The sequence below is a fragment of the Homo sapiens genome, chromosome X, assembly GCF_000001405.40.
Source record: "Homo sapiens chromosome X, GRCh38.p14 Primary Assembly".
NCBI classification, from domain to species: Eukaryota; Metazoa; Chordata; class Mammalia; order Primates; family Hominidae; genus Homo; species Homo sapiens.
Window position 1 is genome coordinate 107,428,345 of NC_000023.11, and position 15,632 is coordinate 107,443,976.

A 15,632-nucleotide genomic window follows, 5' to 3' on the forward strand; every position below is an offset into this window, starting at 1 on the left:
AAAGCCACATTCCCAACCATGTCAGGGTTCATATGCTGAATACTATGAAATGCTGATAAAAGAAATCAGATAAACCTAAATAATGGAGAGACATACCATATTCATGAATTAGAAGACTTAACATGGTTAAAATGTCAATTATCCCTAACTGGCTATAGATTTAATGCAATATTTATCATTTATATTCATCATTTGATAAATAATAAATATTTACCAAAATTCCAAGGGGTTTCTTGCAGATATAGACAAGCTTATTCTAAAATTAATATGAAAAGGCAAAGGTGTGGACAATGCCCGCATCGTTCTGAAGATCGACAATGCCTGTCTTGCATCAGCAGATGACTTTAGAGTCAAGGATGAGACAGAGCTGACCATGCACCAGTCTGTGGAGAGCGACATCCATGGGCTCCACAAGATCATTGATGACACCAATGTCACTCAGCTGCAGCTAGAGGCAGAGGTCAAGGCTCTCAAGGAGGAGTTGCTCTTCATGAAGAAGAACCACGAAGAGGAAGTAAAAGGCCTACAATCCCAGATTGCCAGCTCTGGGTTGTCCATGGAGGTAGATACCCCAAATCTCAGGACCTCACCAAAATCATGGCAGACATCCAGGCCCAATATGACTAGCTGGCTCGGGAGAACCAAGAGGAGCTGGACAAGTACGGGTCTCAGCAGACTGAGGAGAGCACCACAATGGTCACCACACAGTCCGCCGAGGTTGGAGCTGCTGAGATGGCGCTCACGGAACTGAGACATACAGTCCAGTCCTTGGAGATTGACCTGGACTCAATGAGAAATCTGAAGGCAAGCTTGGAGAGCAGCCTGAGGAAAGTGGAGGCCCGCTATGCCCTACAGATGGAGCAGATCAACGGGATCCTGCTCCACCTGGAGTCGGAGCTGGCACAGATCCGGGCAGAGGGACAGTGCCAGGCCCAGGAGTACAAGGCCCTGCTGAACATCAAGGTCAAGCTGGAGGCTAAGATCGCCACCTACTGCCACCTGCTGGAAGATGGCAAGGACTTCAATCTTGGTGATGCCCTGGACACCAGCAATTCCATGCAAACCATTCAAAAGACCACCATCTGCCGGATAGTGGATCATAAAGTGATGTCAGACATTAAGCCAGCAGAAGCAGGGTACTCTTTGGGGAGCAGGAGGCTGATTAAAAGTTCAGAGGGGAAAAAAAAGAAAGAAGAGAAAAAGAAAAAAAGAAAGAAAAGGCAAAGGAATTAGAAAAGCCAAGACATTATTTGTGGAAAAAATAAAATTAGAGGAATCACATTGAATGATTTTAAGATTTATAGAAAGTTAAGTAATCAATACTGAGTGTTACTAGTGAAGAGATAGGCACATAAATCAATGAGATGGAAAAGAGAGTTCAGAAAGAGATGTACAAAAAAGAGACAAAAGGCCAGGTGTGGTGGCTCATGCCTGTAATCCCAGCACTTTGGGAGGCTGAGGAGGGCAGATCACCCTAGGTCAGGAGTTCAAGACCAGCTTGGCCAACATGGAGAAACCCCATCTCTACTAAAGATCAAAAATTAGCAGGGCATAGTGGTGGGCACCTGTAATCCCAGCTAATAGGGAGGCTGAGGCAAGAGGATTGCTTGAACCCGGGAGGCAGAGGCTGCAGTGAGCCAAGATGGTGCCACTGCACTCCAGAGCCTGGGTGACAGAGTGAGACTCTGTCTGAAAAAAAAAAAAAAAGACAAAGATGCAAGAACAATTCAGCAGAGAAAACATCATCTTTTCAACAAATAATGCTGAAACAGTTGAACATCCACAGTTTTAAAAAAAGAACATTGACCTAAATATTATACCTTATATAAAAGTGAATTCAAAATAGATATTAGATCTAAATGCAAAACCTAAAACTATAAAACTTTTAGAAGAAGATGTAAGGGAAAATCTTTGTGACCTTGGGTTAGGCAAAGAACTTTTGGATATACCACCAAAAGCTTGATCCATAAAAAAGAAAAATTGGTAAATTGGACTTTATTAAAAGGTAAAACTTTTGCTCTGTGAGAGATACTGTTAAGAGAATAAAAAGACAAGCTACAAATTGGGAGAAAATATTTGCAAATCACATATCTGACAAAGAACTTGTATCTAGAATATGTAAAGAGGCTATTAAAACTTAGTAAGAGGCCAGGCACAGTGGCTCATGCCTGTAATCCCAACACTTTAGGAGGCCAAGAAGGATCACTTGAGGTTGCAGCCTGGGCAACACAGCGAGACTCCATCTGTGAAAAAAATCAAACTCAATAAAACTTACTGAAACAAACCAATATTTTTAAGTGGGCAAAAAATTTTTTGAAAAGTCACTTTACAAATGAGGATACAAAAACGGCTCACAAACACATAAAATTCATCATTCAGGAAATGAGAATTAAAACTGCAAAAGTGTGCCTTTAGAGAGCCACTAGTAATTGAAATAAAAAGGAATGTTAATACCAAGTTTGGCAAGGATGTAAAGCAACTGGAACTCTGTTTCATTGTTGGTGGGATTCTAAAATGGTACAACCACTTTGGAAAGTACTTTGGCAGTGTCATAAAGTTAAACTTAATACCAATCATATGATACAGCTTTTTCACTCGTAGAGAGAATGGAAAACATATGTCTGCACAAAACCCTGTACACAAATCCTCTTAGCAGCTTTATTTACAATTGTCAAAAAATGGAAACAATCCAAATACCCAATAAAAGTGAATAAACAAATTTTAGTAAATCCATACCATGGAGTACTACTCAGCAATAAAAGGGAATTGACTAATGATACATGAAACAACATGAATTTCATAAATATTATGATGTGTGAAAGAAGTCAGACGCAGAAGTACACATACTGCATGATTCTAATTTATAGTGACAGAAAGCAGGTCAGTGGTTGCCTAGGGATAAAGAAATGATTTGCAAAGGAGCCTGAAGAAAACTTTTGGAGGTGTTGGATATGATTGTGGTGATGGTTTCACAAGGATAAACATATGTCAAAACTTATCAAATTGTACACCTTTAACACGTGCAGTTTATTGTAGGTCATTTACACCTCAGTAAAGCTATTTCAAAAGATTATAAAAATTACACTAATTTAAAGAAGTCATGCACAAAAGGTTGCCTACATATGATTCCATTATATGAAGTTTGAGAATGTGAAAATGTTTTAATTTATTTTAAAGTCAGAAGTAAAAATGGATTTTTAGGTCAAAGATGTTTCAGCACATAATATTAATATACTTATCTTTATACTAATGCAGTCATAAAATACAGTTTGTTTAATGAAGGAAGGGTGCAGGAAGGCCAAAGTTCCTTGGGCCCATGCAAATCATAATACATTCCTCTCTGTAGTGAATTATATTGGCAAAGTCACAATAATGTAAACATGATTTATTGGCTGTCAACTTTTAGAATCTACCTATAAACAAAGCATGGGAGATGTATTCATAGTTATAGAAGAAAATGTAAATACTATCAGCTTTGACAATGTAGAAGTAAACATTTGACAGAAAATGAAAGTAGAAGGGGAGAAGAGGTGGAGGGAAGCATATGGACTTGAATAGCTCCATCTGATAAAAATGGGGAGTCAAGAGATGCTATCTATAGTTTATGGTATAATATATAAGATTTCAGATACATTATTCAATGTTCTAAAAGTAATTAGTAGTAGAACAACAATATTCCATAACTCTATTGGGGGTGTGAAGGAGTGGAAGTGGGTATGTTATTGAGTACTGCCCTCTCATCTATCATAGTAGAAATTCAATAGATAAGTATCTCAAGTTGATAAATCAAGGAAGAGAGCAGAGGCATATTATTTAGTGAACTAGAGGTCAATCGTCAGAAGAATTAAAAGAGAAAGATTAAAAATGGCAGCTTTGTGGGTCTGAAGGTGGATGGGGTGGCAGAAAGGGTTTTGCTCTTCATTGTAAGTTTTTCTGTACCGTTTGATTTTTTTAACCAGGTTCATGTGTCATTTCAATTAAAAAAAAAAGTCATCTTCTCTCACCCCTGTCAGTCTCTACTTGAGCATCATTTGTATCCTTCCTTGTTCTCATCACAATCTGTAATTATTTTAGTTATATGTCTGATGATTCAGTTAATGTCTTTTTCTCCCATTAGACTGTAAGCTCCGCAAGGACAAGAACAGAGTCTGTCTTCGTCGCCACTCTGTCCCCAGTGCCTGGCATAGAATGTAGCCCAGGAACCAGGATCACACCATGCATAGCACTCCGGGAACTTCTTATACAAAGGCCTCTCCAAGCTTCTTCTAGGACCAACCGGCAGTTGAGATAGAAGATGTTCTGTTATGGAAAGGCAGTGTCCTCCAAAACGGTAAGAGCAGGGATGGCCATGAGCAGAGAAAGGCACTACAGCCGAATAGTACCCCAGAAAGTGTTCTAAACCTTCCCTGGTGAGGGCATGAGCTGGGGCAAATCAGGTTATTCTTCCAGCATTGAAATCCTCTTTAAAAGAACATTAAAGAGTGCCTTCAAGTGGGCATTTTGCAGGGAGTAAAAGGAAGAGGGAATAGCAAAGGCGCCTCTTAGCCCTGGGAGATATAGGCTGTTGGCATTTCCACACTAGCTAAAGAGGCTTCTCTCAGTCTGCCTGGGCTTGTGTCTGCCAGCAAGTACAGGCAGGTCCAGTAGATGCAGCTGATTTTTGTGGTCCTCCCTGGGCAGTTCTGAAGAGGTCTCTGGAAACTGCTTGATAGCAAAGCTGAAGATTATCTTGTGGTCAGAACAAGAGAGCCTGGGGCATGGAGCAGAGGAATTGGGCTGTCATATCTTCTAGAGCCACTTCCATAAGAACCTTGGGTATGCTGGGGTGAATGGTATGGGCAGACCTGTTTGCTTCCTGATTAAATGAGGAAAGGTGATCTGTGAGGCCACTCCCTCCTGGCCATAGCCTCACACATGATCCCTGAAGAGTCATAGACAGGGAGATTTCAAGGTTCAGACAACCCCATTGGACCCCTTGGGCTGTCTAGGGCTTCCTGGAGAGAACATTCTTCTTTTTTAAAAAATTATTATTATTATTATTATACTTTAAGTTCTAGGGTGCATGTGCACAATGTGCAGGTTTATTACCTATGTATACATGCACCATGTTGGTGTGCTGCACCCATTAACTCGTCATTTACATTAGGTAACTCTCCTAATGCTATCCCTCCCCCCTCCCCCCACCCCATGACAGACCCCAGTGTGTGATGTTCCCCTTCCTGTGTCCAAGTGTGAGAGAACATTCTTCCAATGAGGGGAACCAAAAAGAGGGAAGCATGGAAAAAAGCCAATGAGGAATTACGACGCCACCACTGGAGGAAGTGGGTTAGAGTCAAGATGGCTCACAGGGAGAAGTCCTTGCTTAGCAGGCCTAGAAACCTAGCACCTGTAATTGTGCCTCCCTCTTTCTAGGAAGACAACAAACTGTCTTTCAGCTTTGTCTACCAGGTACTGGAACCTCTCTGTGGCCAGATTCCTGGGGCCGGGTGAATTGTCAATAGGCAACTGCAGTCACTCAGAATCTTTCTAGAATGAGTAACTCAAAGACAGGGGTTTGTTTGATCCATTTTGAACTACCGCAGCATGTAGCTCAGTCTTTGGCTCTCATCGGGAGACTTCCAAGTAAACTGAAAAAAGGCAGGAGCTGCTGGGTCAACTGGCAGATTCATCCAGGTCACAGAAAGATGGGGAATTGTAAGAGAAGAAATGAACACTGAGGCCATTTCTCTTAAGTGGGGAGGGCTTGGAGTAGAAAGCATGAAAAATGCCCCTCCTGTGCTGGGCTCACTTCTCAGGGCCTAGGACAAAGGCAGGACATGGTGTTCCTGCTTTCACAGTGATTGAAAAAAACTGGTGGCAGCACACAGCTTGCTGCCGGGCAGACAGCTTGAGTGTCTTCACTACTACTCTTGGTGGTTCAAGGGCAGGTTTGCCTCAGCCCTTAGAACACAGTTCCCTGGATTCCTTGGCCCTCCCACATCTCGAGAGCAGCAGTAACTACTTCACTGTGGGCTGTGAGGAGTCTCTTAGTTGGACAATGTTAGTATATGCAATTGATTCAGAGCCTAACTTCATTTCTTCCTAACTTCTAACTGGTTTCTTCCAAGTTCCTACACTTGGCCTGGCTTCCTTTTCCCTGAGTTGGTCATCAAGTACCCAAATGGAATCCATATTCTATAAATTCTTCCTCTCCGATCTCTGGAGGCAGTAGAGTAGTGCTTAAGGGTACATGCTCTGGGGTCACACTGCCAGGGTTCACAGCCCAACTCTTGTTTGCCAGCTATGCACCCTTGTGCAGTTTACTTACCTTTCTGTGCCAGTTTTTCATCTCTATAATGAGAATGACAATAGTACTTAACTCATAGATCTGTTGTGAGGATTAAATGAGATTGTAATGAGCCTGGCACCTAGTTAGGGTTCAGTAATATTAGCTATTATTTGGAATGAAAAGTCTTTCTTTCCCTCTTGCACACCCCTGCTTCTCTAGTTTCAGATACTTGTTCCTCCTCTCCCCAACGAACTTCTCCCATCCTTCTCCAGACGTTGCAAGCCTTTCAGTGCTAAATGTTCTTAAAAGAAGAGATTTCCGGCTGGGCACGTTGGCTCACGTCTTTAATCCCAGCATTTTGGGAGGCAGAGGCGGGTGGATCATGCGGTCAGGAGATGGAGACCATCCTGGCTAACATGGTGAAACCCCGTCTTTACTAAAAATCCAAAAAAATTAGCCGAGTGTGGTGGCGGGCGCCTGTAGTCCCAGCTTCTCGTGAGGCTGAGGCAGGAGAATGGCGTGAACCCGGGAGGCGGAGCTTGCAGTGAGCCGATTGCGCCACTGCACTCCAGCCTGGGCGACAGATGTCTCAAAAAAAAAAAAAAAAAAAGAATGGGTTTCCTTTTGATCTTTTCCATCTCTTGTATGTCCCATACCCAGGTAATCATTTTTTAATTATTTTTGTATTTTCTGATACATATTTTACATATTTATGGGTCATGTGGGATACTGTGTCATATGCATAAAATGTGTAATGATCAAGCCAGGATATTTGAGGTGTCCATCACATTGAATATTTATCATTTCTATGTGTTGGGAACAATTCAAATCCTCTCTTCTAGCTACTTTGAAATATGAAATTCATTGTTGTTAACAACAGTCACTCTACTCTGCTGTCAAATGATAGAACTTACACCTTTTATCTAACTATATGTTTGTACCTGTTAACTTACCTCTCTTTATCCTCCCTTCTCACCCATACACCCTTCCCACCCTGTAGTATTCATCATTTCTCCCAGGTAATCACTGATTATCAGAATTGGAAAGGTCTTTTATAAATAATCTAGTTTAATTTGCTCTTTTTACAGATTGTCAAAAGTTGGATCCAGAAAGATAAAGCAACTTAGTAAAGATCACATTGAACTAGAATCACAACTTAGTCCTATAGATATTAGCAATGTCAGACATCAAAGCCTGAACATTTAATTCTAATAAATTCAACATATATCCAGTAAGGATCTACTATTAGTGTGTGTGTGTGTTTGTATGTGGTAGTAGGCCATACGCTGAGAGAGATACAAAGATGATTTCAAATCACTTGTCCACTAGAAAAGCTGGCTCTAGGAGGAGGTTATGAGGCATTGTATGTCTTGGGGGGTAGCTCTCCATTCCTCTTATACATAGATCTATAAATAGAGCTATAGTTATCTTTTTTTAAGTTATCTATATCTATAAATGTATATCTGTGTAAGTAGAAATACATAAATAGATCTATGTCTATATATGAGCATATATAGATATATCGTTTATGTATATATTTTATATATAGTTTTGCATATGTATTGTTATATATGTGTGTGAATATGCATATACACATATATGTGTATATATAATTGAAATTAGTTTCACTTCAAGAATTTAGTGAGCTGACTCCTTTTAAAATACCATCCTTCTGCCCTAGCCTGGAGTACAGTGGGCATATCTATGCTAAATGATGGGGACTGTATATGCACACAAATGTAACTACAGTATAACCGGTCTTGAGGACCGGTCCCTTTGGCCCTGAATGTAGCCAACTGGTCCTCATTCTACAAGCAGATGAAAGATAACCCCCCCTATTTTTGGTGGGAGCTAAGTAAAGGATAAAGGGAGAGCAAAACAAAGTATTGATAGGTCTCTGTGAGACCTGGAAGGCAGAGGAGACCTACTGATTACTCAAGTAAAGTTCAGCCTGGATGAGAGGTCGATGTTCCTAGAAACAGAACATACTTTTCTAAGAGCTGGATCGTGACCAGGAATAGATCAGAGTGAACTAAGAGTCCAGAATCAGGGAATCCTTGAGCAAGACAAAACTGGACTCTGGGTCTTCACTGTAAAAAATTATGTATAGAGCGTGTTTGTTCCCTGGAAAATCTTCATGTATTGAGAAAGGCTTGGTAGTAGTTGTTTATGGCTTACTGTGAAGAAATGTCCAGCAGAGTGGAAAATACAATGCTCCTGAGGCTGTGTTCCCAGGAAGGAGGCCCAAGCTGCTGAGGAAAATCGGTGCCAATTTCCTTACCTTCAACAAATTAGCAACACCCTAAGGCTGTCTTGTCCCACCAAAATCCTTCTTTGGGGTCAGGCGTGACTGAATTCTCTTGCAACCTGAAACTGACTCTGAAATCCCTTCCAAAGCAAATACTGAGTAGGAAACCGTGAGATTCTAGATCTGAACCTTTTGGTCACCTTTCAGAGATACTAGTACAGAAGTGGACCTCAGTATATTTGAATCGGTGAATGAAAGAGGGAAGGAAGGAAAAAAAGAAAGGGAAGGGAAGGAACCATGTATTATGTAAGTCTTGATATGTAAACATTAGTAAACTACCCTTCCTTTCATTTAACATTGGTCATACCAATATGGTTATGTTTCTGTCCTCAGCCTACAGGCCCTTTCAGGAGCACTGGACACAGATGGCCTGGGACACTCTCCTTTTTAGGCTGTCATGATACCACATTTTCGTGGCTTGCCTCCTGCCTTGTGCTTTCTCTGTCTGCTTTGCTGACTCTTTTTCCTTTATTCATCCTCCAAATATTTGAGATGCTCTCAGGCTCAACCCTAAATCTCTTTTTCACTCACTCCTTTCCAAGATAATTTCTTTCAGCCCAATAACTCTAAATAGCATTAATAAGATGAACACACCCAAATTTATATTTCTAGCCTTCACCTGCCCTTTGAGCTCTAAACTTATGGCATTCTGGCACAGGGTCTGGAGTTCAAATCCTGATTCCATCACTTACCATGTCAGTTGTTTGACTGTTTTGCCTCAGTTTCCTCTTCTGTAAAGTGAGAGGGTAATAATACCAGATTTTACAAGGTCATTGTGAAAATTAAGTGATTGAGTATATGTAGAGCATTAGGGACAGTATTTGGTACACAGTAAGCATCAATAAATAGATGATGATGATGATGATGGTGATGATGATGATGGTATCTGACTGGCTAACTTGGCATTGCCTCTTGGAGGTCTCATAGGCATTTCATACTTAACATGGCCAAGACAAAACTTGTAACTTCTGCCCTCTAAATTAGTCCTCCCACTTTTTTCCTCAACTTTAGTAAGTGGTGCCACCACGTATCCAGTTGCTCAGGAAGAACCTAAGTGTCATCCTTTCACCTCACTTCTTACATCCAATCCAATAGCAGGGCCTGTCAAACTCCCAAATATATCCAGAATCTATCCACTTCTCTCTATCTCCACTGCTGCCATCATTAAGCCAGTATCACCTCTCACCTGGATTCATCCTCCACACAGATGCTATTAATTTATTTAAAGCAGTCATTCAGATCATGTTGCTCCCTTGCTTAATGGCTTTCTGTGGATTTAGATTGGAATCCAAACCCTCATCATGTAAGGACTTCCAGGATCTGGCCTCTGCCTATTTCTCCAAACTAATCTCCACATTCACTGGACTTTTTTAGGTTCTTGGTTTGCACTAAGCTAGTTTAAGCCTCAGGGCCTTTGCACTAGCTGTCCCTTCTACCTAGAATGTCCTTCCCCCAGGTCCTCATATGACTGGCTCCTTTTCATTCAGAATTAAGGTCAATGTCACAATGTCACTTCCTCGGAGAAGCATTTCTTGACTATTTAATCCAAAGTAACTTCCCCCATCACCGCTCTGTTTTCTTCATAGCACTTATCACTATCTGAAAATATTCATTCAATTGTTGAATACAGTTTGTCTCTCCCTCTCCTCTAAAATACAAGACCCCTGAGAGCAGTAACCTTGTCTGTTCTGTTTACTATTTCCTCCTCAGTGCCTAACAGCATCACAGGGTTGAGGAATTTAAAGGATTGTTTTTTAAAAAAATTTCTGGTAAAATATACATAACAGCTGTACCATTTAACCTTCCCACCAGCAGTATATGTGAGGGTTCCAATTTCTTCACACTCTAGCCAACACTTGTTATTTTCTGTTTTTGTTTTTGTTTTTGTTTTTTTCATAATAGCCACCTTAATGGGTGCGAAGTGGTACATTGTGTGGTTTTGACTTGCATTTCTCTAATGATCAGTGATGTTGAACATCTTTTCATGTGCTCATTGCCCATTTATATATCTTCTTTGGAGAAATATCTATTAAAATCCCTTCCCCGTTTTTTAATTGAGTTGCTTTTTTTGTTGTTGAGTTGTAAAAGTTCTTTATATATTCTGAATATCAATTCTTTATCAGGCATATGATTTGCAAATATTTTCTCCCATTCCATGGGCTGCCTTTTCACTGTGAATAGTGTCCTTTGATACACAAAAGTTTTTAATTTTGATGACGTTAGGATTTTTTTTAAGGGTTAATAGTTGGAGAAGGGGTTGGACTCAGCATGAAGTTTGAGGTGAGAAGGCTGATATTCAAAGGAGGACAGTACAGCAACAAGCCTGAAAAGGATGCCATGAACAGGAATCCTTGATAATCCAAGGATGGCATAAGGCCTCTGGAAACCCTAGGTAAGAAAGGGCAAAAGATGGGAGAATTATGATACAGAGCATTTGCTGAGACCTCACTAGGTACCAAGTATTGTGCTAAGCCCAACACATCTGCTATTTCATTTAATTCTCTTAGCAATTCTGTGAGGTATTATTTTAGCCCTAATTTGTAGATGAGGAAACTGAGGCACAGAGCGATTAAGCAACTTGCCCAGTGTCACAAAGCTATATGTCAGAGTCTAGATTTGAACTAAGGTAGTCTGGCTCCAGATTCTGTGCTGTCATCCATTGGCCTGTAATGCTTCTGTACTAGATAAGTAAAGGCGATTTGAGCAGGGTGTGGGGCATATTGTAGTTGTTAAGACTATGATGAAGAGATAAGCTGCAGGTAGTAGGTTGAAAACATGCCTTGAGGGCATAGAGAAGGTAGTCAAAGGGTAGCCCTTGTTTATATACTTGCTCTGCAAAGGCAGTTTTGTCAGGGCAGAATAGAGAGGTGATGAAATTCACAGGCTTTGGCAACAGAGAGACCTGGGCTTGAATCCCAACTCTGCCACTTACCAGTAGGACCCTTAGGCAAGTTTTGCTTCTCTGTGCCTCAGTTTCCTCATCTACAATTGAGGATAAAAACACTTCATAGAGTTGTTTAGATCTTTGATGTAACCTGTGGGGCATGATCCCTTCCTTGCACCTGATAAAGGCTCAGTAAATATCAGCTCTTTTTCCTCAACCAAACAATGATGCAGCCCCTCCTCCAGCTAGAACATCCCCATCTTCCGATTAAAGAGAAAATTTTCCAGGCCAGGCTGAAGTAGTTGTACTTGAATACCTTAATGGGCCATCAAGGCCCATGAGTGAACATGTAACTGAAAGTGATCCCTCCCAGAACAGAGAAAGGTTCTTCCTTCCCTAAGGACACATTCCCACCAGACTCCTTTAAGACCCAGGAAACGCATTTCTGTCTATCTTAGAACAACCATTTTGTCCCAGCTTCTGGCTACGCAGGGTTAAGAAACTCCTAGCTTCTTGCTAGGCTATATATATATTTGTAAATTATAAAAAGGACATTTACATGCCTGTTTTTAGTGAAGTTTACTCTCAGGGAACAGGAAGTGAAAATGAGGGCTGTCTGCCTCAATAGCAGACACTGAGCAAACAGAAGAGGGAGGGTCGTATGAAAGACAAATTTCTTCAACTTCCCAGTTTTTTTTTTTTTTTGGCTGCCTCTAGATTTATTAATTTCAGAGAAACTGAAGAGGGTCCAGGGAAGAACCATCAAAATGATTAATAAAAGGAAGAAGCTACTGAGTGATGCTAGGAGCTTCCAGTGAAGGACAAGAAAAGGGGATGGGGAGGAGGAGGCCCTGAAGGCTGAAAGCAAAGCACCCACCAGAGACTGCAGAGCTGCGGGGATCTGTGGGAGGAGGGGCAGTTAGCCAGGGCCCAGGTACCTTCATTGAGCACCCCACCATGGGCCCAGCACTGGGCCAGGCATTCTGGGAGATCAAAAGAGGCCTAAGGCTTGGCCTGTGCCCACAAAGGTAGAGAGACAGGGCTATACCCACAAAAGGACAAAGTACAATCCAAGCCAAGAAAGTAAGCGCTGTGACAAGGAACTCACTCGCTGCTATGTGCCAAATGACCGGTGCAGTGAGAAGTGTTCAGTATTCCTAGGAGGAAGGGATCTTCTCAGGTGGTGGGGCTGGAGCCTAAGGGGAGGGACACAATGTGGCTAGGCAGAGAGGGTGGAAAGCAACATAGGTCTGGGAAACGGTAAGACCAAAATACAGGAGGTAGGGTATGGGCAAGGAAGAAGGAGGAGCCATACCTGGCTGGGGTGAGCAGTTCTCTGAAGGGAGTAGTGAGAGATGGACACTAGCAGAAGAATGTGGATTTTCTGCTGCAGGTATTGGGCAGTCACTGAGGCTCCTGAGCAGGAGAATGTCATGGTACCAGTTGTGCTTTGGCAAGATCAATCTGTCTAGGCATGGTGGACTGGAAGTGGAGGTGGGGAGACCAGGCCTAAGACTACAGTCACTAAGAAAACACCTGCAGCTGTAGCCATTGAAAATGTGCCCAAGTGCTGACAGGGGCCAGGTCTCAGATGACAAAGCTGGCTGGGGCCCAATGATCTCTCCAAAAGGTGCAGTCTGGACTCCATACTCTGAGACCACAGCCTCAGTTCCCTCAAGCCCACCCAGCCCGAGGAGCTGGTCATCATTCGCAGCACATCTCAGCAAACTTAGGCCCATACCAAGGACAGATTTCTGGGCAGATGATATCTTTGTTATAAATAGAGAATTTGACTCCAGGTGGGAAATTCAATTTGTGGAAGCAGTTGAAATCTTCTGAAATCAAGATCTGATTTCCTGAGCAAAGGTCCTTGGGTCTTAATGAACAAGAGAAAGAGATAAGGAAAAGAAGACACTATAATTAGGCATTCCCCCTAAATGGGAGGCTTCTTGGATAACCAGGGACCTGCCTGCAGTGCCTTAACGAATGCTTCCCATTTCTGAACCATGGCTTTTGAGGCAAAGAATGACATTAAATATCGATGCAGCACTTAGGAATGGTTGCAAAGTGCTTTTCTGCTCTTGTTATTCATTAGCCATCCCTATCTCCCACCCGCTCTCCTCTCCCTCTCTTTCCCTCTCACCAACCCTGCCATGAGCCTGGCAAAGTTTATGCAGGTTGAAAAGATGAGAACTTGCAGACAGAAAGGTTAATCAATTGATTCCAGGTCAAACACAGGAAGTTACTGACAGTCCAGTGGTGAGAATATTCTTGTCAGGCCTTTCTGGAATTTATTGCTTTAGCCCACCGAGACATATAAAACCACACCTGTTTTTCCTTTCAAAGCTGATTTTTTTTTCTTCCCTGTCTGGTGAAAGGCAGCCAGAGAAACAGAAGATGGGGTCTAGGAAAGACAGAATGAAGAAAAGAGAAATTGATGACAGACAGAAAAAGAGAACGGGAGAAGCCAGCTGATCTCTTCCAGGCCTGGTATTTCTGAGCCCCTTACTCTGCTCAGGTGGAGTAGGCATGGAAAAGAGTGAAGAGCACTTGATCAAAAAATCAGTTGCTTCTTACCTGTGGGATTTTTGAACAGTCATTTAGTCAATCTAAGCCTCAACTTCCTTATCTATAAAATGGGAATTATAGCTGCCCTACCTCTCAGTGTTATTGTGAAGATCAAATTAAACTGTAAAACTTGGTGTACCTATAAGGGATTATCTTGGTGAACCAGGAAAGGCCACCATACCCTCAAACTCCTCAGCTTTCTGCCTCCAAGTCAAACATCCCCACTACCAATCATGCCTTTAGAGAGAGATATTGAGATAGGTTTGGACAAAATGTAAACTGTTCAGAGGTTAACTCATTGGTCCATTACCATTCACTAGCACATTAGCAAAAATTCATTTATCAAATTGGTGGCGACCCCCAGGGCCTTTGGATGGATTTTTAACACCCTTTCTTCCTCAGTCTTTCAAGGGACATTTGTCTCTACATGGTAATTTTTGTTTGTTTGTTTGTTTTTCTCCAAAAGCTCCAGGAGCATCCTTCTTTAAGTCTGCATCCCGGTAAAAAGCAATAGGCAGGCATTCAATTCTCCTTCATGTTCTTTTTTCCCAGGGGGACCTTAGTGCAGAGAGGTTAAGTTAAGTAAAGTGTCCATGATCACACAGTGCCCTACCCAGGATTGAGAGCCTATCAGAGGCACCTAGTCCTCTGCTCTCCAGCCTAGCTACATTTCCTGTCCATCCAGTTTTTCTTCTGCAAATATCCCCCCATCCTCAGCCCCACCCAGACAGGTGAGGAGGGGGAGGAGGCTGGCTCCTGGCAGCACTGTCCCAAGCACACGCCTGAACTCCCTCATGAGGAATAGCTGTACTGGTGGCAACCGCAGCAAGCACTTGGCATCTGACAGGCTCTGTCAGCATCAATTTAAATTGGTATTTTGCTTCCTAACTCCAGGAGGGCAAACATGCCTAAGATGCCAGCAGGGGGGACAGCAGGAAGGCATTCAAGGAAGCCATGGGCGATTCCCTGGAGTCTGTCAACTCAGTTTCCACTCCAAGGCCTTCCAGAGCCACAGGCCTTCCCTCTGTGGGGCTCCCTCTGCACAATGGAGGTGGGCAAGGAGAAGGCAGCACCTTGGAAGCTCTCTAGAGAAAGACAAAAAATAAAAATAAAAAAGAAGCAACAAAAGAAGAGGAAGAAAGAAAAAAGGAAGCTCCAGAACAGGGTCAGAATTGAGGTGGATTGCCCCCACAAAGTCCTCTTAGTACTGGACCCCATGCCCTCTGGAGTAGCATTCCTCTTCTCAGGCCTGCTTCAGCTGTGCTTCGTTGCAGATGCAACCTAGACCCAAGGGGCTTGTTAAAAAAAATAGAGTCCTGGGCTCTAGGGTGGGGCCCAGGAATCAGCCTTTCTACAGCTCCCCAGGTAGAAAGAATTCCCAGATCCCCAGGATTCTGATGCAGCTGGGTCAAGGCCCATAGGTGGGGAAATGTTGCACTCAAGCTCTCCCACCTCACCCCACGGCATCCCAGGAAAACGTCCCTGGTCAGTATTTCATTCCTTTACCGCTCTACCCTCCTGTGAGAGGTGACAGGCAATCTGATAGATTTATTCAGGCGAGTGCATTAATGGGTGCTAATGACTTAATGTGCTGTCCATTCCAG

The 15,632-nt window shown here is 42.5% G+C and overlaps 1 pseudogene, besides 2 other annotated features; it reads left to right on the top strand.

Annotated features, from left to right (window-relative positions):
* KRT18P49 (keratin 18 pseudogene 49) lies at positions 283 to 1,176 on the top strand (annotated as a pseudogene).
* Positions 14,463 to 14,964: an enhancer, noted in NCBI's record as "H3K4me1 hESC enhancer chrX:106686037-106686538 (GRCh37/hg19 assembly coordinates)". NCBI's record gives its function as "activates a minimal SCP1, AML or CMV promoter by ChIP-STARR-seq in naive H9 embryonic stem cells {active_cell/tissue: H9 hESC(naive)}" and the evidence as "EXISTENCE:reporter gene assay evidence [ECO:0000049][PMID:30033119]".
* Positions 14,965 to 15,464: an enhancer, noted in NCBI's record as "H3K4me1 hESC enhancer chrX:106686539-106687038 (GRCh37/hg19 assembly coordinates)". NCBI's record gives its function as "activates a minimal SCP1, AML or CMV promoter by ChIP-STARR-seq in naive H9 embryonic stem cells {active_cell/tissue: H9 hESC(naive)}" and the evidence as "EXISTENCE:reporter gene assay evidence [ECO:0000049][PMID:30033119]".